Consider the following 24,383-nt stretch of genomic DNA (forward strand, 5'->3'; position numbering starts at 1 on the left):
GCTCTGCTTTTTTGGCAGCCTTCTGTCTGGACACTCAGACATTTTCATACATCTTCCAAAATCTATATGAATACTCTGAAGCCTCTGGGCTGGTGCTCTATGGACTTGCTGGCTTAAGACTATGTGGAAGCCGTGAAGCCTTATAGCTTGTACCCTCTGAAGCAGTGATGCAATCTGTACCTGTGCATCTTTCAGCCAAGGTCGGAGCAGGAGCTGCGGCTGCTGGGATGCAGGCAGCAGTGTCCTGAGGCTGCATACAGCAGCAGGGCCATGGGGCTGGCCCCAGAAACCATTCTTCTCTCCTAGGCCCCAGGGTCTGTGACACCAAGGGCTGCTGCAACCATCTCTGAAATGCCTCCAAGGCTTTTCCCCCCCATTGTCTTGGCTATTAGCACTGGCCTCCATTTTATGCAAATTTCTGGAGCCTTCATGAATTTTCCCCCTGAAAATCAGCTTTTCTTTTTGACCACTTGGCCAGGCTGCAAATGGTTCTAAACTTTTGATCTCTGCTTGTCATTTAAATATAAGTTCCAACTTGAGGTCATTTCCTCAGTCACACATAACCTTGGTCACACAAGAACACGGGCTGTTTGATGCAGACAGGATTCCCCTTGTGCTATGCTGCCTAGAAGTTCATTCCACCAGATATGCACTAAATCATCACCCTCAAGTTCAAAGTTTCACAGATCTCGAGGGCAAGGTCGCCCTGCAGCCATGTTCTTTGCTACAGCAAAACAAAAGTAACCTTGGCTCCTGTTCCCAGTAATTTCCTCATTTTCATCTGAGACCTTGTAAGCCTGGCCTTCACTGTCCATCCTTCTGCCAGCCTTTTAATCACAACTATTCAACAAGTGCCTACGATGGTCCAAAATTTCTTTCATCTTCCTGTCTTCTTTCAAGCTCTCCAAACTCTCCAACCTCTGGCTGTTACCCACTTCTGAACCTGCTTTACGTTTTCAGCTATCTTTGTTGCAGCCTGACAATGTAGAAGAAAAAGAAGTCCATTTTCAGGGGGAAACTTCAAGAAGGCTTCAGATATTTGCATTAAAAAGAAGTCCAGTGCTAATAGCCAAGACGATGGGGAAATGTCATTGAAGATATTTCATAGCTCCACTTCGCAGTACTTTATTTTCTGTATGATCATAATGAAAAGGGGTTTAATTGGTTCATGGTTCTGCAGGCTGTAAAGAAAGCATAGTGGCTTCTGCTTCTGGGAGGACTCAGGAAGACTCCCAATCATACCAATAGGAAAACAGCAATGAAATATTTCATATGGCAGGAGTAGGAGCAAGGCTGAGAGAGGAAAGAGGTGCCACTCTGTTATATAACCAGATCTCATGAGAACTCACTATCACTAGGTCAGCATCAAGAAGATGGTGCTTAACCATTGGTGAAGGATCCACCCCCCAACACAGCTCCACCTCCTAGTGTTCCAGACAGAAGCCTGCTGCAGAGGCAGAGGCTCTTGGGAATCCTGTACTATGGCAGTGCAGAAGGAAAATAAGGGCTTTGACTGACTATGCAGGAGGCCACCATCCTCGAGACCCCAGATTCATAGACCTACCAACAGTTCACACCCTCAGTATGGAAAAGTGATAGGCTCTCAACACCAGCCCAGCCCATGAGAGCAGCCATGGAGGCTAAAGCCTGCAAAGCCACAGGTGCACTGCCCTGGTAGAAGTTTTCCATGAGCCTTGGCCTCTGCAGCAGGCTACTCCCCCTTCCTACTATCCATCACCCTCCCACCGCCCTACAGCCAGCCTATTCTTCCCCACCCTACCCACCCCTTTTTTCTTCCAGCCCTACCCCTCCCATCCATGATTAAATAATCTCCCACCAGGCCCCATCTCCAAAATTTGGGATTACAATTCCACATGAGTTTTTCCAGGGGCACACAGCCAAATCATATTATGCTGACCTTGACCCCCCAAGTATCATATCCTTTTCACAGAATAAAATACAATCATGCCTTTTCAAAGGTTTCCAAAAGGCTTAACTCCTTCCTGCATTAACTCAAATGTAAAAAGTTCCAAGTCTCATCTGAGACAAGGCTACAGTCTCTTCTGCCTATGAGTCCCTGAAGTTAAAAGGGTGTTTGTTTCTTTCAAGGTACAATGATGGTACAGGTACTGGGTAAACTTTCTCAATCCAAAGGGAAGAAATTTCCAAGAAAAATAACACAAATGGGACCACAGGCCCAATGGACATCCAAAATCCAGTATGTCAGTTTTCATTCAATCTCACAGCTCCAAAATCATGAAGAGAACTCACTATCAGAAGGACAGCATTAAGGAGATGATGTTTAACCATTTGTGAAGGATCCACCCCCACCCCTGCCTTTCACCCCCAACCCCACCACAATCTCCTCCAACCCTCCCCACCCCCGATTCCCTCCAACCCTCTCCACCCCAGAATCCCCCCCACCCTCCCGGTGCCCCCAACCATCCAACCTCCACTCTCCACCATGATTAAATCACCTTCCATCAGCCCCCACCTTTAACATTTTGCATTAACATTCCACATGAGCTTTGGTAGAGACAGAGAGCCAAAACCTATTATTCTGTCTCTGGTCCCCCAAAGTTCATGTCTTTCTCACATTGCAAAATGTAATGATGCTTTCCCTAGAGTCTCTCAAATCTTAACTCATTCCAGCATTTACTCAAATGCACAAAGCCCAGAGTCTTATCTGAGACAAGTCTACAGTCCCTCCTGCCCATGAGCCAGTGAATTATAAAGCAAGTTTACTACTTCCAAGGTACAATGATTGTACAGGCAGTGGGTGACTCATAGGATACATAAGTGTCCAAAACCCAGCAGGCCAGTCACTTAATGCTACAGCTCCAAAATCGCCATTTTTGAATCCTTGTCCCATATCCATGGCACAGGGCTGTGAGGGCTGAGCTCCCAAGGCCTTGGGCAGATCTGCACCTGTGGCTTTGCAGCGTTCAGCCTCCGCGGCTGTCTCTCATGGACAGGGCTGTTGTTGAGTGCCCATAGCTTTTCCACACTGAGGGTGCAAGCTGTTTATGGGTCTATGAATCTGGGGTTTAGAGAATGATGCCTCCCTGTGTGGGGGCTTCAACCCTATAGGTCCCTTCTTTGCTCCTCTAGTAGAGGTTCCCCATGAAGCTCTGCCTCTTGGAAAAGCTTCTTCCTGAACATCCAGGATTTTCTGTGCATCTTCTGGAGTCTAGACAGGAGTTCCCAAGCCTCTAATCTCTTTCTCTGTGCACCTACTGGCTTAACACTATATGGAAACCATCAAGACTTTGAGCCACCTCTGAAGCAATGACCCAAGCTGTACCTGTGCATCTTTCAGCCATGGCTGGTGCTGGAGCTGCACGGATGCCGGCAGCAGTGTCCTGCGGTTGAGCACAGCAGCAGAGCCATGGGACTGGCCTAGGAAACCATTCTTTTCTCCTAGGCCCCAGGGCCTGTGACAGCAAGGGCTGCTGCAGACATCTCTAAAATGCTTTCAAGGCTGGTTTCCCACTGTCTTGGCTTTTTGCACTGGGTTCCTTTTTATACAAATACCCTAAGCCTTCTTGAATTTTCCCCCTCAAAATCGGCTTTTCTTTTTGACCACTTAGCCAGGCTCCAAATTTTCCAAACTTTAGATCTCCACTTGAAGTTCCAACTTGAAGTCACTTCTTAGGTCACCCATAAGAACACAAGCTGTTCAATGTAGGCAGGACACCTCTTGTGCTATGCTGCCTAGATGTTCATTTCACCAGATACATCCTAAATCATCACCCCCAAGTTCATAGTTTCACAGATCTCCAGGGCAGGGTCCCCATGCAGCCAGCTTCTTTGCTAAGGCCAATCAAATGTAATCTTGTCTCTTGTTCATAGGAAATTCCTCATTTTCATCTGAGAACTTTTAGTTCTGGACTTCAGTGTTTACACTTTTGTCAGCCTTCCTATCACAAGTATTTAACAATTCTCTATAGTGGTCCAATATTTTCCTCATCTTGCTGTCTTCTAAGCTTTCCCAACTCTTCTGACCTCTGTCTTTTACCCACTTCTGAACCTGGTTCTACATTGTCAGCTATCTTTATCACAGCCTGGCAATGTGGTAAAACAGAAAAGTCCATTTTCAGGAGGAAAGTTCATGAAGGATTCAGATATTTGCATGAAAAGAAGCTGAGTGCTGGTTGCCAAGACAAAGGGGAAAGGGCCTTGAAGGCATTTCATGGCTCCACTTCATAGTACTAATTTTCTGCATGATCATAAAGAAAAGAGGTTTAATTGGCTCATGGTCCAGCAGGCTGTAAAAGAAGCACAGTGGCTTCTGCTTCTGGGAGGATCAGATCAGGAAGCCTTCCAATCATACCAGAAGGCCAAGGAGCAATGAGATGTTTCAAATGGCAGGGGTAGAAGAAATACTGAGAGAGGAAAGAGGTGCCACCCCCTGTTATATAACCAGATCTCATGAGAACACACTATCATGAAGACAGCATCAAGAAGATGTTGCCTAACCATTGGTGAAGGATCTGCCTCCCACCCGCAACTCCCACTGTTTCCAGGCAGAAGCCTGCTGCAGATGAAGCATTCTTGGGAAACCTCTACTAGGGCAGTGCAGAAAGAAAATATGGACTTGGAGCCCCCATGCAGGAGGCCACCACCCTCCAGACCCCAGATACATAGACCCACCAACAGCTTTCACCCTCCGTGTGGAAAAGCTACAGGCACTCAACACTAGTCCAGTCCATGAGAGCAGCCATTGGGGCTCAAACCTGCAAAGCCACAGGTGCTCTTCCCTAGTAGGGATTTTCCATGAGGCTCTGCCTCTGCAGCAGTCTACTACCCCTTCCTACTACCCACCACCCTCCCACCACCGTACAGCCAGTCTACTCCCTCCCACCCTACCCACCCCTTTTTCCCTTCCACATCCACCCCCACCCATCCATGATTAAATCACTCCCTCCCACTCCCTGTCATAATCTAATCCCTCCAAACCCTTCCAATCTTTGTTTGCTACCCACTACTGAGCCTGCTTCTACTTTTTCAGAAATCTGTATAGCAGGTTGGCTATGTAGCAATAACAAAAATCCCATTTAAGGGGAAACATTCAAGAAGATTTCAAAAATTTGCATATAAAGAAGCCCTGTGCTAATAGCCAAAACAAAGGGAAAAAGGCCTTGAAGGCATTTCACAGCTCCTCTCTGCAGTTCTACTTTTCTGTATTATTGTAAATAAAAGAGGTGTAATTGACTCATGGTTCTGCAAGCTGTGAAGGAAGTATAGTGTCTTCTGTTTCTGGGAGGAATCAGGAAGCCTCCTCATTATATCAGAAAGCCAAGTGACAATGAGATGTCTCCTAAAGCAGGAGCAGGAGGATGAGATCTGTTAAACAACCAGATCTCATGGGAACTCACTCATTATCAGGAGGATAGCATCAAGGTGATGGTTCTTTATCATTTGTGAAGTATCTACCTGCACCATTTTATGACTAAATCTTTTTCCACCTAGACCTTGCCTGTAACATTACAAAATATAATTCCACATGAGTTTTGGTAGGGACATTGACAAAAACCGTATTATTCTGTCCTTGACCCGATGAATCTCATGTCCTTCTCACATTGCAAAATACAAACATGTCTTGCCAGCAGTCTCCCAAAGTCTTAACTCATTTCAGGATTAACTCAAAGTTACAAAGTCCAAAGTCTCATCTGGGTCAAGGCTACAGTCTCTTTTGCCTATGAGTCTCTGAAATAAAAAGCAGGCATTGTGTAAGCTTTCCATATCCAAAAGGAAGACATTTTCCAGAAAGCTTCTTATTTCTCTCTAAGACCTCCTCAGCCTGGCCTTCACTGTTCATGTTTCTGTCAGGATTTTTGTCACAACCATTGAACCAGACTCTAAGATAGTCCAAAAGTTTTCTCATCTGTCTTCTTTTGAGCCCTACAAAGTCTTCCACCCTCCGTCCATTACCTGGTTCCAAAGCTGCTTCCACATTTCCAAGTATCTTTAAAGCAACGCTCCAGTCCTCATTTGCCATTTTCTGTATGATTTATTTTGAAAAAGAGGTTTAATTGGCTCATGGTTCTAAGCACAGTGCTTCTGCTTCTAGGCCTCAGAAATCTTTCAATAATCATGGAAGGCGAAGAAAGAATCAATTGTCTCACATGGCAAGGGGAAAACACGGAGAGTGGGGAGGTGATATAGAGATTTCAGTGACTACATCTCATGAGAAGTCACTCATTATTGTGAGGATGGTACAAGGGGAGGGTGCTGAACCATTCATGAGAAATTTGCCTTCATAATTCAATCACCTTATACCAGGATCCACCTTCCACATTAGGAAATATAATTCAACATGAGATTCGGTGGGGACACATATTCAAATTGCATCATCAATCTTTGAATATAAAGACATCCACAGCAGGCTTTATCCAGCCAACTTCTTTGAGACTCTTTATAGAGTTTGAAGTCTAGAGCATATACACTAAAATATTCATACTTCGAAAAGCAATAAAGTGGTATTATCATTTTTCCAAAAGTTACAGCAGTAGTTTAGGCATTCATAGTATGATTTAGTTCACGATTGCTACTGTTTCTATTCTATCACCATATTAACTGTTTCCTATACAATTCTGTATTCAGCTGGATTTCAGTTGAGCACAAAACCATCCTTGTACTAGCTCTTTGCTAGTGTTATTATTCTGCTGTAGAAAGTATCCTTGAACTGGAAACCGTCCACGATCGAGTATCGAGGCATTCAACACTATCAATTCCTGGGTGACTTTTTGAAAAAGTAGTATCTCTTGTTGCAAGAAATGCTGCATCTGTGAGTCCATGTCTCTCACTGGAATTGGATGGAAGTGGTGAATTTCAGCCAAAGTGGCCAAAGAAATCCTGTTCCTGTGATTCTGACGTCATCAGCCTCTGCACCTCTGTCTTTCCTTCTGCCACATGTTGCCTGCTCTCCATGACTTTGGTAAGAGCTTCCTTGTGTATGTGGATGATGTCCAGGATGTTGGTCTGGTGTCCCTGAGACAGCACTAACAGGTCCATGGCTGGGTCCAGGTCCTTCCTGGACTGACTGGCAAAGAGCTCACTGACAGAGTGGGAGGCATCTATACTGAAGTGGATGGCCTGGTCCAGCTCCAAGGCCTGGCTGAGGCTGAAGAAGAACTGTCAGGCTTCTGATGCTCTTTCTCAAAGCCTGCCACCACTCATTGGCTGTGAAGTTGAGCTGAGTGCCCTGTTGTCCATCTTCTTGGTGAAGCACTTGAAGCCGTCAATCTTGCTCTTCCACTCCTAAAAGTTGAGTGTCACACTGGGGGTGGGCTCAGGGCCAGGAAGAATCTGGCACTCACCATCTCATCCTTCTCAGCCTTCCTCTTGCCCTGTCTCCAGGCTATCTCTTCAGTGCTGGTGGGGCACATCAGGAAGTGACAAAAAATGTGGCACTGCACCTGCATCCAGAAGCTGGCTGTGTGGTTCATCTACAAGATTGGGCCCTTTCTGCACTTGAACATAGATCCACTTCACCATAGATGCCTTCCACACTGTCAGTGAGCTCTTTGCCCATCAGCCCAGGCAGGATCTGGACCCAGTCATGGACCTGTTAGTGCTGTCTCAGGGACACCAGGCCAACATTCTGGACATCATCCACATACACAAGGAAGCTCTTACCAGAGTCCTCCTCAAGATGGCCTGTGGTCTGCCTCTTGGCACCCGAGAAGCCCACAGTGCTGTAGAAGCCCCGATGCTTGGACTAGAGCCCCAAAGGCGGCACACACCCCAGTTCTGAGCCTGCTGCTCATTTCCTCTATGTGGCTCCATTTGCAGCACATTTGTTGCACTGAGGCCTGTGCATGCCAGGCAAAGCCAAGCTGGCTCAAAGAGCAACCACCCACCTCTGCAAGGGTGTGCCAGGAGCCAGTGGACCAGCCACCAACGTGACTCTCTGCCAGTCAGGGTAAATCATTTTTTCTGCCCTGGAGGTGGAGCCCCAGTGCCATCTGCTTTTCCTCAGGCCTGCACTCCATCAGCTGTCAGGTGGTGGTCACTCAGACTGTGGTAAACTGGCCATCCCTATTTCCTTGAGTGGGTGAGGTTGGTGACTGCTCCATCTGCTCCTGGCACACCCTTGCAGAGGTGGCTGGTTGCTCTTTGAGCCAGCTTGGCCTTGCCTGGCATGCACAGGCCCCAGGTACTGAGAAGCTGCTCCGAGTAAGTTTGTCTTGGGCCAAATTCTAAGTCTGGCCAGGGCCACAGAAGGCCGAGTCCCATGGGTGGTAATCCTGGCTGCTGCAGGGGGGCCCATGGTGCCCCTCCCCTCCCAGGGCTCAGGATGAGGTCCGACTGGGACAGGATGCTTTAGGTATGGGACTTGTGCCCCAGGAGGGGACCTCTGTCACACACGTTGGGTGAGAATATGTATGGCATGCTGCTGGCTGCCAGGGCTGTTAGGATGCACGTTCACCCTTACCTTCAGGGACCTCAAAGTGACCAGCTTCCGCTTTATGAATGACTTCCCAAGGCCCAGGAGCCATTTGGGGCTGCAGAGCAGCTGGCTGCTAGCTGCCCTGGCTTCTTCCATGTAGTGCTGGTCACTACCTACCAAGGGGGGTCAGATGCAGGCACAATGTAGGATGATTGTCTCTGGACCTGTGTCTTGGTTATCATGGAGCTAGACTGGGCCTGGTGACAGGGCCCTGATGGGGTTGTCCTGTGTGGTCACGGAGGTGATCAGAAAAGATGCAGAATGGAATTGCTGCGAGGATGAATGAGATGACTGTCAGCACATAACAGGCAGCTGGTGAGTGTTCAGGGATTACCCTCAGTAGCTGCCCAGAGGCCAAAACCATCCACCTGATAGTGACTTTTCCCAAACCAGGAGGAAGAGAAAAGAGCAGGTCCCACTCACCTGAATCTGATCAGTGAGCTGTGTTGAGATGTGCCTCTCATCTAGAAAATGGTCCTTCACGCAGAGCTACTCACAGACACTGCTGTGTGTCTCTAACTGCTCCACAACACAGAGGCGATGGGGACTCAGCAACAGTGACATTGTGGGGTGACACAACCCACAACCATGGGAGTCTGCTTGGGTCAACAGGGCCCAGAGTCAGTGTCCTCTATCCCCTGAACTGACATGTGTGTATGCAATGTATTTGTGTATGCATGTGTGCCTGTGTGTGTGTGTGTGTGTGTGTGTGTGTGTGTGTGTATGTGTCTTGCTTCTCTGGACAGGCCTAGCTTCTCCACTCATGGGTGCACCCAGGTCCTCATCACTGTCACCTTAGAGCATTAGAGCCTCTATAGTTGCTCCCCAATCTCTACCCTCCCCACCCATGGTGGTCCTGGGGATGCAGACAGAGGAGGGGCACTGCATAATGCTGAGAGGCCTGGCACCCTCTCTAGGTGGAACACAGGTCATTTGTAAAGTTGTAGGTCTGCCAAGCAGTATTGGATTCAACACATCTTCTCACCTTCTCTTTCCAGCCACCCTCCAGGGTGCCCCAACTCACTTTCCCTGCAGATGGAGGCAAGGAGCCTCCACAGACAACCCCCCTGCCTGAGGTCACATAGTGGCCAGCAGGCCAGTTACTGACCAACTGCCCCTGACCAGGTTCCCAGTGATGAGTGATGAGGCCCCTAATGACCACTCCTCCATTGACCAGGTCCCACTGATCAAGTCCCCACTGACCATGTCTTCCTAACCAGGCCCACACTTAATAGGCCTCATGGGCCAGACCCCACTGACCAATTTTCCACTGACCTGGTCCCCATTGACAAGACCGGGTTCCCACTGACAAGACCACAATTTACCAGGTTGCTGCTCACCCGACCCCCCACTGAACAATTCTCCATGAACGAGTACCCAGCTGACCGAGCCCCCTCTGACCAGGCCCTCACTGACCAGCCTCCAAGCCACTAAGGCCCCACACTGACCAGGCCAGTGATATATTGTGTATGCCCCACCAACCAGTTTTTCATTGTTTATGTTCCAACAGATCAGGCCCCACTAATAAAGCCACCACTGACTAGGTTCCCCCACTGACCAGGCTTCCTATGGCTAGGTCACCAGGTCCCCACTGATGAGGCCTTTACTGAGGAGGCCGCCACTAACCAGGCCCCTGCTGATCAGGTCCCAAATGACTAGGTCCTGATGACCAGGTCATCTCTGACCATGGTCCACTGACCAGGCCCCGGAGCAACGGGGCTCAAAGTCTCATTACAATGTCCCCCTCAGCTCATAGACCCTCCCTCCCTGCATGTGTGCCCAGAGGTCAGGCCCTGGGGGTTTTTTTGGGACATGGCCTTTCCTCCAAGACACAGGGAGAGACAGTTGGCCTCAGGCTCCAGGTTCCCAGCTCCACACTCACCCCAAAGGCCCTCTGGGCCCGTCTCAAAGGAGAAAGTGAGATGGCCTGACACTGCCTGGACACACCATCTACCCTATTCCTGAGTGTCAGAGTGTGAGGAAGGGAGGGACATTTAGCAGATAAGGCACGCTGTGCTGTTGGGTCTCTCAGGGCCCTTCCCACAGAGCCCCGATCTAAAGACACAACACAGAGGCTACAGGAAGACTAATCCAGAACCTCTGAGACAGCCAGGGACCACATGAGGACTCTCCCCAGACAGCCAGAAGGCCCTTTGCTAGTTTCTTGGTACCTCAGTGGATGTGGCAGTGGTTCTTCTGTTGGGGACCAGTGAGTACACACTGGGGAGGGCTCACCTGTGCTTCCTCAGTGGCTCCACCTCTGCTTCTAAAAAAAATTACTCATTCCAGAGCTAGCGCAGAGAAAATACAAGCTGAGCTTAGAACATCTTCTGCCACAAAGTAAAAAAGTGCCGACAGAGTAATGGAGACAAATCAAAGAGACATAAAGTCAGCTTGGAATGTCTACTACTGGCCTAATCTTGGGGAATTGGAGCATCAGAATCATGAGCTTTCCTTCTCCCTTATTTATTGGTTTTATTTCTCCATGTAGAACAAAGAAGATAATAAGAAAATAATCATCTGGTAACCATCATAGTAATAATTGTTCAAACACAAGTCATCCATGAAATGCTAAATCTAGTGGGTTCTGAGGAGTAACCAGATATTTACAGAGCCTCAAAGTATCTCCATACAAAATACGGTTGAACTACTAAAAGAAAATTGTAACATTAGCATGGACAAACCTGGTAGGTACTCCTTAAGTCTCCTAAGTAATAAAAACTGTAAAATGCAAATAAGCCTTCGATGACCTTTACTAACCTTTACTAAAGTATCAATGATGACTTGGTTGTTTAAACAGCTGACATTTGGGCAATTTGAGTATGTCAAACTCAATAATACTGGTTTTCATTTGCAAGATCCACTTAAAACTTAAGGAGGCCAAAAAACATCATTTAAAATACCCTATAAATTATAATCATACATATGATACAAAAATATCCTACTTCAGTAAATATTGGAATGTTATATATTTTATGAGAAACAATTAAAATGTGTAAATAGCCCAGTGATAAAGTTTTATAATCTTTTAAATCATCATACAATTTTTCCTTAAGACTTTATGGTTAAATATTCTCTTCATTAGATGTGGCTTACCCGTGGATTCCAGAGAAGAAAGTAGATGGGAGCAAGTGTCCAATACAGCAACAGCTGGAAAGAAAAATAAAGAATTTTGTTCTTTACCTAAAACACTTCAGTTAACTAAGTGTGAGTTTAAAAACTAAAGACTTGAGAACTTTATCAGAGTTAATAAGAACGAGAAATATGTATGTACATTTACAATACAAAATTACTATTTAATAATTTACACATGGCATTAATTCTAATTGTGTTTAAATATCAGAGCTTTTTCAGGCTTCATTCATGTAATCAACAGCCACATGCTAAGGTACTCGAACCAGCAGTGGAATTACAAGATGAAGATGGCATGGTCCACCTCTCAACAGTCATAAGCTATAATCTAAAAAACAGACAGGCAGGCAATGTCTATATAGAGTCATATATACCATGACAGATATAGAGCAGGGCACTACTGGAACACAGAGAAGGGACATCTACCCACTTTTATGTCAATATCATGGGCTTTCTGGTGGAGGAGATAACATAGGTTGATACCTGAAGGACAAGGAAAAGCTTCCCAGATAGAGGAAAGAGGCAAAGGCAAAGAGCCTGAGGTAAGGAAGAGCCCTGCAGAGTTCCACTCCATCCAGTTTGGTGCTAGAGCAAAGGGCAGAGTGCAGTAAGCGGTGAGAAACAAGACTGAGTAACTTGACAAGAATCACATTGACATGGGTGTTTTTATTTCATGGTGAAAAATTTGGAACTTTTCCTGAGAACAAGTGTAAGCCAATGACACAGTTAATTAGAGGAGATTTAAAATGTCACCTGTCAAGTGACTGCTTATGAAGGGTTATTGCTCAGCTAAGTATTTCTGAATGAGTCTTAGGTCTGTTGGCCTTCAATCTCTACCAAAACCCTGAGAACTTGATGATGCTTTTGTTTTCTGAGAATCGTTTCAGTGTGCTGGCTGACAGTTCCATGAGGATGGCAAAACTTAAGAAAGTGTAGAGCCAATGAAAAAGAGATGCACAGACATCTTGGGAACTGTTTAAGCTTTGGAACATGATGAATTTATGGTGCATAAGTACAGTCTTCTCTGTGAAAGTTTTTGTTTTCACATCTTTCATTAGATGTGTGTAAGAAAAAAAATATTGATGTAGTATCTACTAACCCAAGAATGAAAAGGAATGCCATTTGCTATTTACACTTTATTTCTAAAATAAACCTAAATTTAATTAATAAATTTTGTCATCGTACTTCTCTTTGTTTCTCTAATTATTTATTCTACACAGTCCGGCCCCATCTAAAATAAGTAAAAATAATAGTAATGTCTAAATTAAACAAGAAACATTATCATGAAAATCATGTATCACTTACAAAATGTGGCCTTTAGTATTTTTAGTGACTAGACATAACTTGAAGTTTGCTTAAATAGAAAAATAATCACATAAATAAAATAAAATTTCTACTTATTTTAAGTTTAGATAACAGAGGATGTATATGTGTAATGCTGTTTAGAGTAATCTGACAAAAATGCAGTTAACACTAATCTATTGCATATACATGATTTTAGAAAGGTAGTGTTTTATTAGTACAAAGGTTAAACAATGGCCAGGCATGGTGGCTCATACCTGTAATCCCAGCACTTGGGGAGGCCAAAGCAAGCAGATCACAAGGTCAGGAGATCGTGACCATCCTGGCCAACATGGGGAAACCCCATCTCTACTAAAAATACAAAAATTAGCTGGGCGTGGTGATGTGCACCTGTAGTCCCAGCTACTTGGGATACTAAGGCAGGAGAATTGCTTGAAGCCAGGAGGTGGAGGTTGCAGTGAGCCAAGACTGCATCACTGCACTCCAGCCTGGTGACAGAGTGAGACCCTGTCTCACAAAAAAAAAAAAAAAAAAAAAAAAAGATTAAGTAATTAAAGCCATCTTTTGCAATGAATGCATTGCTTTGAAATTCTTAGAAAAGTCTGCCCTTTATAAAAGTTTAATCCATTTTTTACTTCAATAAATTTTATCTTAAAAAGAAATTTCTGTTCTCTACTTATAGTAAACTTTTCTTTTTTTTTCTAGTTTGTATTCTAAATTAACGTGGTACCTCTGTAAGTTTCTTCCAAAGGCATATTGAGGGATACCGAGGTTTGCAGTACAATTAAACCCATCACACAGGTTGTGAGCATAGGACCCAAGAAGTAGTTTTTCAACCCTGGCCCACTCTGTCCCTCCCCGTTCTTATTTCCCAGTGTCTATTATTCCCACCTTTATGACAATGTGCACCCAATATGTAGCTCCCACATGAGTGAAAACATGAGATATTTGGTTTCTGTTTCTGCGTTGGTTTGCTTAGGAGAGTGGATTCCAGCTGTATTCATGTTGCTGCAAATGACGTGATTTTGTTCTTTTCATGGCTGCATAGTATTCCATGGTATATATAGAATTTTCCAATCTACCTTGGATTTTCAATCTACCTTGGATGTACCTGGATTGACTCCACATCTTTGCTATTGTGAATAGTGCTGCAATGAACATACATGTGTATACATCTTTTTGTTACAATGATTTATTGTCCTTTCGGTATACCCCTAGTATAGTAATGGGGTTGCTGCATCCAACAGTCATTCTTAGTTCTTAATTTCCAAACTGCTGTCCATAGTAGCTGAATTAATTTACATTGCCACAAACGGTTTGTGTTCCCTTTTCTCCACAGCCTATCCCAATATCCTTTTTTAAGTTTTTATTTATTATTTGTTTTTAACAAAAGTCATTGTGACTGGTGTGAAATGGTATCTCATTGATGTTTTGTTTGGCATTTTTCTGATGATTAGCAATGGTAAGCATTTGTTAATGTTTGTTGGCCACTTACGTGTGTTATTTTGAGAACTGTCTGTTCATGTCCTTTGCCCATTTTTAATGGTCTTAATTATTTTTGGCTTGTTGATTTGTTTAGGTCTCTTATGGATTCTGGATAATAGGCATTTGCTATATCCATACTTTGTGAATATTTTCTTCCATTCTTTTAGGCTGTCTGTTTAATCCCGTGATAGTTTCTCATGCTGTGCAGAAGCTATTTAGCTAAATTAGATCACACTTGTCAATTTTTGTTATTCTTGCAATTGCTTTTGAGGACTTAGCCATAAATTAATTGACAAATATGATCTCCAGAAGAGTATTTCCTAGGTTTTCTTCCAGGATTTTTATAGTCAGAAGATGTACTCTTATGTAAGGAAAGCACAAACCTTTTTTTTGTTTTGTTTTGAGACAGAGTCTCCATCACCAAGGCTATAGTGCAGTGGTATGATCTTGGCTTACTGCAACCTCTGTCTCCTGGGTTCAAGTGATTCTCCTGCCTCAGCCTCCTGAGTATCTGAGATTACACATGCCTGCCAACACGCCTTGCTAATTTTTGTATTTTTACTAGAGACAGGGTTCATCATGTTGGCCAGGCTGGTCTCAAACTCCTGACGTCAGGTGATTCACCTGCCTCGGCCTCCCCAAATTTTGGGATTACAAGTGTGAGCCACCATGCCTGGCCAAGCACAAAGCTTTTAACATAAAAATGGAAATGAACATTTTAGTGTTTTGTTTAATTCATAAAATGCAATTATTTTGGATTCTACTAAATAATAAACATCCATATGTGGCAAAGTGTTTGGATGCCAATCATTCAGTTGTGATTATGGGTGGGAAGAATTGAGATGGTGCAAATAAACTTTTTTAATTTTTTTTTTTATTTTCAAGATGGAGTCTTGCCCTGTCACCCAGGCTGGAGTGCAGTGGTGCAATCTCAGCTCCTGCAACCTCCGTCTCCCAGGTTCAAGCAATTCTCTGCCTCAGCCTTCCTAGTAGCTGGGATTACAGGTGCCCACCACCACACCAGGCTAATTTTTTTTTTGTACTTTTAGTAGAGATGGGGTTTCACCATCTTGGCCAGGCTGGTCTTGAACTCCTGACCTCGTGATACACCTGCCTCAGCCTCCCAAAGTGCTGGGATTACAGGAATGAGCCACCACACCTGGCTGGTGCAAAGAAACTTTAAAAGTGGCATGGGCCGGGTGCGGTGGCTCATGCCTGTAATCCCAGCACTTTGAGAGGCTCAGGCAGGCAGATCACAAGGTCAGGAGTTCAAGAAGAGCCTGGCCAATATGGTGAAACCCTGTCTCTACTAAAAATGCAAACATTAGCTGGGTGTAATGGTGGGTGGTTGTAGTCTCAGCTACTCAGGAGGCTGAGGCAGGAGAATCACTTGAACCCGGGAGGTGGAGGTTGCAGTGAGTGGAGATGGCACCAAGACACTCCAGCCTGGATGACAGAGTGAGACACTGCCTCAAAAAAAAAAGAAAAAAAATGTGGTATGAACCACAGCTAAACTACAATCAATTAGAGAGTAAGCCAAAGCATCTCAAAGTATATCATCAGTTATCAGGCAATAACATGCAATTTCTAAAACCTAACTTAAATGCAGCTTTTAAAGACATTTCAAACGTGTCAGTTTAGTCACATTTATTGAATAAAGTTAGCAAATGGATATCTCTTGAAAATGAGAGCTCCAGGGAATTAAAAAATGTAAAGTTCCCATTTCCTTTCTGTGTTAACACAGCTAATTATGATCTTTACTTCACATGCAAAAGTCAACAGAACAACTCAGTATTTCACCAAATTATAAACAAGAATTACGCTAGAGAAATGAAACCCTAAAGAGAAACGGTCATATAACTAACCTCAGTCAAGTAGTTCTGGCAGTTATTTGAAGTCTGAGGTTTGAAGTAGGAATTCTTACGGGCATTTGGGGAATATATTTTCTGTTGAGTCCTATACTAGTAAGATTTTCAACACAAGGTGACTCTCGACCTCGCCTTGTAGGAAGAGTGCTGAGAAAATATTTCACCTGCTCTTTCTCCATAAAGAGCTGATACTGATCATTGCTATTTTCTTATTCGATCTGTAAAGATAGCAAAGACAAATGTTTAATATTTCATTTTTCCTTAAATGATTCTTAATGACTTGAAGTTTTTAAAAACTTACCCTGAGAGTAAACCAAATTACCCACTAAATAGTGTTTTCACATAGAAGATGTGTAAGAGCATACCTGTTGTAAGGAATTATAATTTTAAAATCGTTCTAAAGAATCACCATTGTTTCTAAGGTGATTTCTACTGAACAAGCAGTTCAAACAAAGTAGACAGGGAAGAGAAATGGCTATCAGTGATTTATGGCTCAACAGGTAAAACTTCCTGCCTTCTAAAATGGTTCTACTTGTAAGATTCTGAAGATTCAATTAGAAATACTTGTATTTAAAGGGTAATAATGTGGGAAAATGAATATGTTGATTTGCTTGATTATAAGAACCACTTCACTAGAAATAATTATATCAAAACATCATGTTATACTCCTTAATGTAGGTTAAGAAAACTAAAATGAACGAAAAAAAATCTAGGAATACTTGTGTTTAGTAAACCAGTTTTAGATTTCACTTTTGTACATTTCACCCATTATCTAGGACCAATTAAACATTTGGCACTGAGGAATAATTCAGAGCAACAACTCCTAGGGGAGAACTAGATTGTCTGGTTGGTGATCAAAAAGAACTAAAGCATCTCTGAAGGCAATTAGTCCCCAACACTGTGACCAAGGCCCTGGAGGTGGGGCATGTTCTTTCTGCCTTCCACACACCGCTTCAGGCTGAACAAGGTGTTATTTTTTAACCGCTTTGTGAATTACACTTCTTTAAATTCCTGTGATAATTATTCCCTATTTCACAAGGGTGCCTTTCTGCAGCATCTTGAATATGTTACACAAATAGTCTTTCTTGAGGCACCCTCTGGTGATAATACTAAAGATCACAATCAAAAACAATTGTGCCCAGAGTAGCAGTACCACTTTGCATTTAGGTTGTGATCCACTGAAAAGTAAATTAAACACATTAATATTTCTATTTAGGGAAATTCTGACAAGTAATTTTATAACAAGATCACTTCATTAATTATAAAGCTTCAAAAATACTTAGTGAAAAAAACTAACAGATCAGGTTAATTACATGAGACTTTTCAGGAAAAAAAGCCATACAAAAGCAAAAAAAAAAATGAGAGGAGAGACAAAAACTATCTTTGACTAACATTTTAAAGGTAAAATTATTTACTCACATTATTTTTCAAAATTACATTGTCAAATTAGCATTCACTTGCTTCTAATCTCCTGAAGCCATCTCACTAAAAATTATGCTTTTGAAACAAATTAATGAGCTTAATTCATTTTCTATGAGTGTATGTTTTGACTTACTTAGTTAATTTTTTTGACATGGAACTATTAGCTTTCAATGCTGCTGCAAAGGCTTCCTTATATTCTTCTAACTCAGTTGTAACCTCTTCATAAGCAGTTTTCATTTTGTAGAATTTACATTCCACATCTTTAAGTGTGAGTTCCTTCTTATTTAGTGAAGCTGTATTATATCCTTGTTTAACTGCTCTAATTGTTTTTTATGTTCTGCTTGTTCCTAAAACAGAGGAAAAGAATACACTTTTAAAACAATTATAACCTAATTATTATGTTTGTTGCCTTTCATTTTGAGTCAGTGATTCAAAGAGTATTTTTGAATATGTTAAAAAAGAGGATGAAGTTTAAAATATTTCAGCAATATCAAAACTAATAACTGAATTCAGAATTAAGTCTGATTTGTAAAAATTTGAAATCATAATTATGCTAGTATTAATGTAATCTGGTCATATAAAAAGTAATAGAATCCATTCATAGTTTTAAAAAGTGATCAATGAACACTGTAGCTTAAGACCAATTCATAATTATCACATAATTTCTAAATCACAATTTTTTCCTATGCCAACTGGTCTTAATCATCAAATGACTCCATAATGAGAATCATTACTCTGAAAGATTGATTTTGTTATAATAATAATGGAAATTTAAATATTTAAAAGAAAAAACAGATACCATTTTTTTCTAGAACTCTACAAAGCAGATTGCTACAAGAGAGGCAGAGGAAACACTATATATATATATATATATATATATATATATATATATATATATATATATCCAAAATATAATTTGCAGTGAAATAAATGAAAGCACATTACAAGTAAACTTACCTGATTTAAACAACTCACCTGTAAATGGATTTCTTCTAATTTTTCTACTGCCTGCATTGCCCTTTCATCTAGCTCTGATTTATATTCTTGTAGTTTACTAAGTTCTACCATACTGTTTTCCATATGTGTCTTAAGATTTAATATTTCTTCTTCCAACATCTTTTTATCCTCCTCAAGTTTTTCACATTCCTGTTGTACTTTTTTCATAGATAATAACTCCTGTTGAAAAACTTGAATCTCTTTAGCCAAATTGACACATTTTGAAGATACAGCTTCCTTCTCCGCCATAAAATCATCAAACTGCATGAATAAAATAGTATAGCTTGATAATGAAGTAGGCTGAGAATAATCGAATACAAAACCAATAGCAAATTATGAAATGCATTTACTTGCAATAAAATGTTATCTGTAATGCAGCAGATTCTTCAAATGTGAACCCTTAAATTACTCAGAATTTTAAGAACAAAGTTAAAGCTACCATGAGTCATAAAAATATATTCTTTACTATCATCATCTTTGCCACAGAATTTTTGTACTTCATTTTACTTTTATTTTTCTGATAATTCATTTTTGTTCCTCCTTAAATGGCACAAAGTTATCTCCTAGTAAAAAGTGTCTAACCCCCTTCCTTCATTATCATTCCCCACAGTATGTCAAAAAAAGTTTCAGAGATATCATATTGAGTTATTTAGGCCAAAGTCAATAAATGGGTCTAGGAATAAGACTTTGAAAATGATATTACACTCTATATTAGGTATGGTGGCTCATGCCTGTAATCCTAGCACTTTAAAAAGCTGTGGCAGAAAGATCACTTGAGGCCAGGAATTCGAGATCAGCCAGAGCAACATAGTGAGACCCCCATCTCTACAAAAAAAAATTTTTTTAATTACCCGGGCATGGTGGCTCATGCCTGTAGACCCAGCTAGTTGGGATACTGAGGCAAAAGGATGGCTTGTACCCAGAGTTCAGGGCTGCAGTGAATTATTATCACTGCACTTCTGCCTGGATGACAGACAAAGAACCTATCTCAAAAAAAACCACAAAATAATGAAATCTATGATTAAGGATTCTGATGCTATAAGCCTTTCCTTAAACTGCAAATGTTTCATGCTAATTTGAATTGCATTTTAAGAAGTAATGTTTCTTGGGGTAAAGACCATAGAATACGGCACCCAGAAATAAATCCACATATTTCCAGCCAACTGATTTTGGACGAACATGCCAAGAACATACGCTGGGGAAAGGACAGCCTCTTCAAATGAATGACACTGGGAAAACTAAATATCCATATGGAGAAGAATGATATTAGCTTCCTATGTAACACCATATAACAACATAAACTCAGAATCGATTGAAGACTGAAATGTAAGGCCCAAAATTATCAAACTACTCTAAGTAAATATAGGGAAAATGCTTGAGGACATTAGTCTGCACAAAGATTTTTATGGGTAAGACATCAGAAGCATAGGCAAACAACAAATCATAGACAAAAGACACTACATTAAGCTAAAGAGTTTCTGTCCAGCACACAACAGAGTGAAGAGAAAACCTGTAGAATAGGAGAAAATATTGTCAAGCTATTCACCTAATAAGGGACTAATATACAAAATATACAAAAAAACTCAAACAACTTCACAGTAAAAAAAAATCTGAGTTTAAAATTGGGCAAAATATCTAACTATACTTTTTTTAGAAAAAGAAATACAAATAGCCAATAAATAAATTTTAAAATGCTCAGTATCACTAATCCTCAGGGAAATACAAATCAAATCTACAATGTGATATAATCTTGCTTCAATTTGAATAAATTGCTGTCATTGAAAAGACAAAAAAAATAACAAATGCTGGTGAGGCTCCAGAGAACAGTAAACTCTTACATGCTGTTGGTGGGAAGGTAAATTAGTGCAGCCACTATAGAGAACAACAGGAGGTTTTCTCAAAAAAACTAATAATGGGACTGCCGAGGGATCCAGCAACCCCACTACCGGGTATTCAGGCAATAGAAAAGAAAACAATAGATCAAAAGGATATCTGTCCTCATATGTTTACTGTAGCACTATCCACAACAGCTTCTGTATGGAATCAACCTACATGTCCATCACCAAATGAATGGACGAAAAACTGTGGCACACAAACACAGTGGAATACTATTCACCGTATAAAGGAATTAAATCCTGTTATTCGTGGCCAAGTGGATCAGTCTGACGGATGTTATGTTAAGTGCAGACACAGAAAGATAAATACTGCACATTCTTACTCATGTAAGGGAGCTAAAGGAAAATTGAAGGCTGGGAAATATGGCTGATGCCTGTAATTTTCTAGCTCTTTGTAAGACCAAGGCAAGAGAATCATTTGAGGCCAAAAGTTCCAGAGCTCCCTGGGCAACATAGGGAGATATCTCTACAAAGTCAAAAATCAGACATGTGCAATGGTGCATGCCCATAATGCCAGCTGCTCAGGAGGCTGAGGTGTGAGGATCAGATGGGCCCAAGAGTTTGAAGCTGCAGTGAACTATGATCAAACCACTGTCTCCAGTCTCGGTGACTACAGTTGCCCAGAGCCCAGACTACACTAGCAAGACCCTGTCTCTTAACAAAAAAAAGCTCACAGAAGTAGGGGAGGGGAGGCTGGTTAATGGATACAGAATTACAGTTAGATAAGAGGAGTGAGTTCTGGTGTTCTGTGGCATTGTAGGGTGAATATGGTTAACTATGACTTATTGTATATTTTTAAAAAGCCAGAAAATTTTCAATGTTCACAATTCAAAGAAATGAAAAATGGTTGAAGTAGTAAATGTGCTAGTTAGTTTGATCATTACACACTATATACGTGTATAAAAATATCACTCTATAGCCCATAATTATGTATATATGTGTCAATTAAAACAAAAGAGAAGCTACATTCATCCCATTTAAAAAACAGAATATGGGCCAGCCTTACTGACTTCCTTCTAATGAGTTGAATGTAGTGAAAGGGATACCATGTGGCTTCCCTATCTCAGACTGTTTTCCCTTGGAGCCCAGCCCCAATTGTGAGAGCCTGAAAGTGCCTGTGTTAGTGTTCATGCTGCCTGTCCCAACCAAGTTTACAGCCGATGGCCAGCATCAACCATCAAACAAGTGGGTGACCAAAGCTTCAGAGGATTCCATTTCCCCAACTGATCAGCTGTTCCTAGGGAAGCTGAAGGGAGCAGAGACAAGCTGTCCTGGCCAAGTTTTTCCCAAACCACAGGTTCATGAACAAAATAAATGTTTTTCCTTCAAACCACAAGACTCTGGGTAATTGTTAGGAAAATAAGTTTTAAAAAGAGACAACAGGAAACATAACTTATGCAGCAGAAAAGAGTCTCCTTTAAAGCAGGATCTAAAAAATGTTGATATTTATTTAATGATGTCAAACATTATTGAGAAGCAGTAGATAACCAGGAGAGAGACATAAGCTGCTGAGGAGGAATTTTCCTAAAACTCCTTCAATTATGAACTCTGATAACAAGACAAGGGTGTCTTCTTACAATTTCTCCTCAAGTTAGGAAGTAAGACTGGGAAGCAAGAAGATGTATGATTTGAAAAACAACTAGAAATACTGGGTGACATAGGCAAAATCAGACATTTACCTGATTTCAATTAACTAAAATTCTAAAAGAAGAAGTTTTGAGTATTTATTAATCAACCTAGTATTCAATTTTCATTTTCTTTTCTAAATGAGGAAATAAGGAGAATATTATGGAATGATTTTTATTCTTCACAGAAGTAAAATAAGCATAATGTATTTTGAGTGTTAAGACACAAATGCAATTTCTCCTTTACCTTACTCCAAGCTTGTTTGTATGGAGAAGTTAAGACCATCCCATCTCTTTGTTATGCCACAATGCTTCTCTATAGCACACAACTTGGCTCTGAAATTTTGAAAGTCAAAATACTAATCTACTATGTGTCTCTGATAAATTGCCTGAACGTTACCTGATTTTGAAGTGCTGCACTCCTAAGACTTTTTCTTGGAATGAGTTAAACGTTTTATTCCAAGAATCCTCTACTGAGCTAGAAAGCAGAGCTGTGCATCTCTGTTTCAGTAAAAGGAGGTCAATACAGGGAACTGTGGTTTCTGAGAATGCAAGATCTGCACTAAGAAAAGGATTAGCCACAGTGCTACCCAAGAGAACCAGCTACCAGGAGGAAAGAGGGTCTGTAAACTGCAAGATGATGACTTCACTTGATTTCCACTGAGGAAAGCTGGTGGCTCAGACTTAAACTTCCCCTTCCTAGATGGTAAACATCTATGGAAGGTTCTATGAATTATAATGAGTTAGTAAAACATAATGCACTGAATATTAGACTATGTCAGCAGATCCTGTAACAAAAACTTACTGAAAATATAACTATAGTGGGAGGCAATGGAAAAGAGACTAAAGGCTTGAATGGAGAAAAAAAGAAATTAAGTGTGTCTTGTAAGCCTGGTGTCTGATCATGTCTTAGAGGAAGTAAGGTATAAGCTGGCCAGAGACTCCTTTGTGACACAAAAGGTGAAGTTACAGACATTCCACTAAATTTAATTTTTATTATGACATAAGACAACTGGTAATATGCAACATGATTGAAAAAAACTTCTCATTCAATTCGATTGGGCCTTGACATAAGAATAGACATAAAAAAGCTAAGAATTGACAATCTAAAAATAAGCCTGCACTTTTACAGTCACTTGATTTTATACAAGCTTAACAAAAGAACAAAATGGGAAAAGAATAGTCTTTTCAACAAATGGTGCTGGGACAACTGGGTATCCATAAGCAAAAAATAAATAAAGTTTGACCAAATATCTTATTTAATAATTAACTCAAAATAAAATAGTTAACTGTAAAAGCTAAAACTATAAAACCCTCAGAAGAAAACACTGGCATAAATCTTTGTGACAGCATTTGCCAGTTTTTTCTTAGCTATGACTCCAAAGGAAAAATGGATTCAATGGACTTCAAAATTGAAAACTGCTGTGCCTCAGAAGACAGTATGAAGAAGTGAAAAGGTAAGACGCCAAGTAGAAGAAAGTATTTGAAAAGCGTGTATCTGATAAGGGACTTACATATATAGGAAATATAAATAACTCTTGCAATTAATAAATAACAAGATAAGCCAATTTTTAAAAATGGGCAAAGATTTTGAATAGATATATCTGCAAAGAAGATATAAAGATGGATAAGCACATTAATAGATGCTTAATGTAATTAGTCATTAGGAAAATGTAAATCAAAACCACATGTGGTATCACTTCACACCACAGGATAAAATCTTTGTTCAAGAAAAAAGAGTGTTAGGAAAAATGTAAAGAAATTAAAACCCTTATCTAATGCTGCTGGGAATGTAAAGTGATGCAGCCACTTTGGAAAACAAACTGGCAGCTCCTTAAAGGGTTAAGCATGAAGTTACCATATGACACAGAAATTCCAGTCATAAGTATATACTCCAGAAAAATAAAAACATACCCAAGCACAAAAACTCATACATAAATGTTTACAGCAGCATTATTAATAGTAGTCAAAAGGTGGAAAGAACCAGAAGGTCTGTCACCTTTGGGTGGGAGAGAACCCAAAGGTCCATCACCTGGCGAATGGATAAATAAAATGTTTGATGTATCCATACAATGGAATATTACTCAGCAATAAGAAGAAATTAAGTACAGATACCGTATTAGGAGGAGACAGCAAAATGCCTAGGCAGATACGGAAGGGTCCCTGGAGAATCTCCAACCAGCCCCACAAGTGTTTACACCAG

At 41.2% G+C, this 24,383-nt stretch overlaps 2 long non-coding RNA genes and 1 pseudogene across 4 annotated transcripts in view, besides 1 other annotated feature; 1 reads left to right on the forward strand and 2 right to left on the reverse strand.

The window, feature by feature from the left end:
- LOC105379854 (uncharacterized) overlaps positions 1–12,771 on the forward strand; it is a 71,606-nt gene extending 58,835 nt beyond the window's left edge. Inside the window, exons 2-3 of the long non-coding RNA XR_001756120.3 lie at positions 1–11,142; positions 11,541–12,771. The exon at positions 1–11,142 is cut by the window's left edge and continues 16,000 nt beyond it. This is a non-coding gene — a long non-coding RNA (uncharacterized LOC105379854). The remainder of the gene's footprint in view (positions 11,143–11,540) is intronic.
- Positions 6,732–8,308, reverse strand: SNX18P19 (sorting nexin 18 pseudogene 19; annotated as a pseudogene).
- Positions 8,148–24,382, reverse strand: LOC101060632 (uncharacterized). 3 transcript variants are annotated; one of them, XR_007068529.1, is made up of 4 exons: positions 24,296–24,382; positions 17,798–18,011; positions 16,240–16,460; positions 8,148–11,605 (listed from the first exon to the last, which is right to left on the reverse strand). It is a non-coding gene; the product is annotated as an uncharacterized LOC101060632 (long non-coding RNA). The 3 variants fall into 3 exon arrangements; XR_007068530.1 differs by lacking the exon at positions 24,296–24,382 and having other exon boundaries at positions 8,642–8,725; positions 10,691–11,605; positions 17,798–18,501; XR_007068528.1 differs by lacking the exon at positions 24,296–24,382 and having other exon boundaries at positions 17,798–18,501.
- Positions 23,535–24,035: an enhancer, noted in NCBI's record as "H3K27ac hESC enhancer chr1:143201417-143201917 (GRCh37/hg19 assembly coordinates)". NCBI's record gives its function as "activates a minimal SCP1, AML or CMV promoter by ChIP-STARR-seq in primed H9 embryonic stem cells {active_cell/tissue: H9 hESC(primed)}" and the evidence as "EXISTENCE:reporter gene assay evidence [ECO:0000049][PMID:30033119]".
- Position 24,383: the final 1 nt, after the last annotated feature.

Source organism: Homo sapiens (assembly GCF_000001405.40).
Source record: "Homo sapiens chromosome 1 unlocalized genomic scaffold, GRCh38.p14 Primary Assembly HSCHR1_CTG1_UNLOCALIZED".
NCBI lineage: Eukaryota > Metazoa > Chordata > Mammalia > Primates > Hominidae > Homo > Homo sapiens.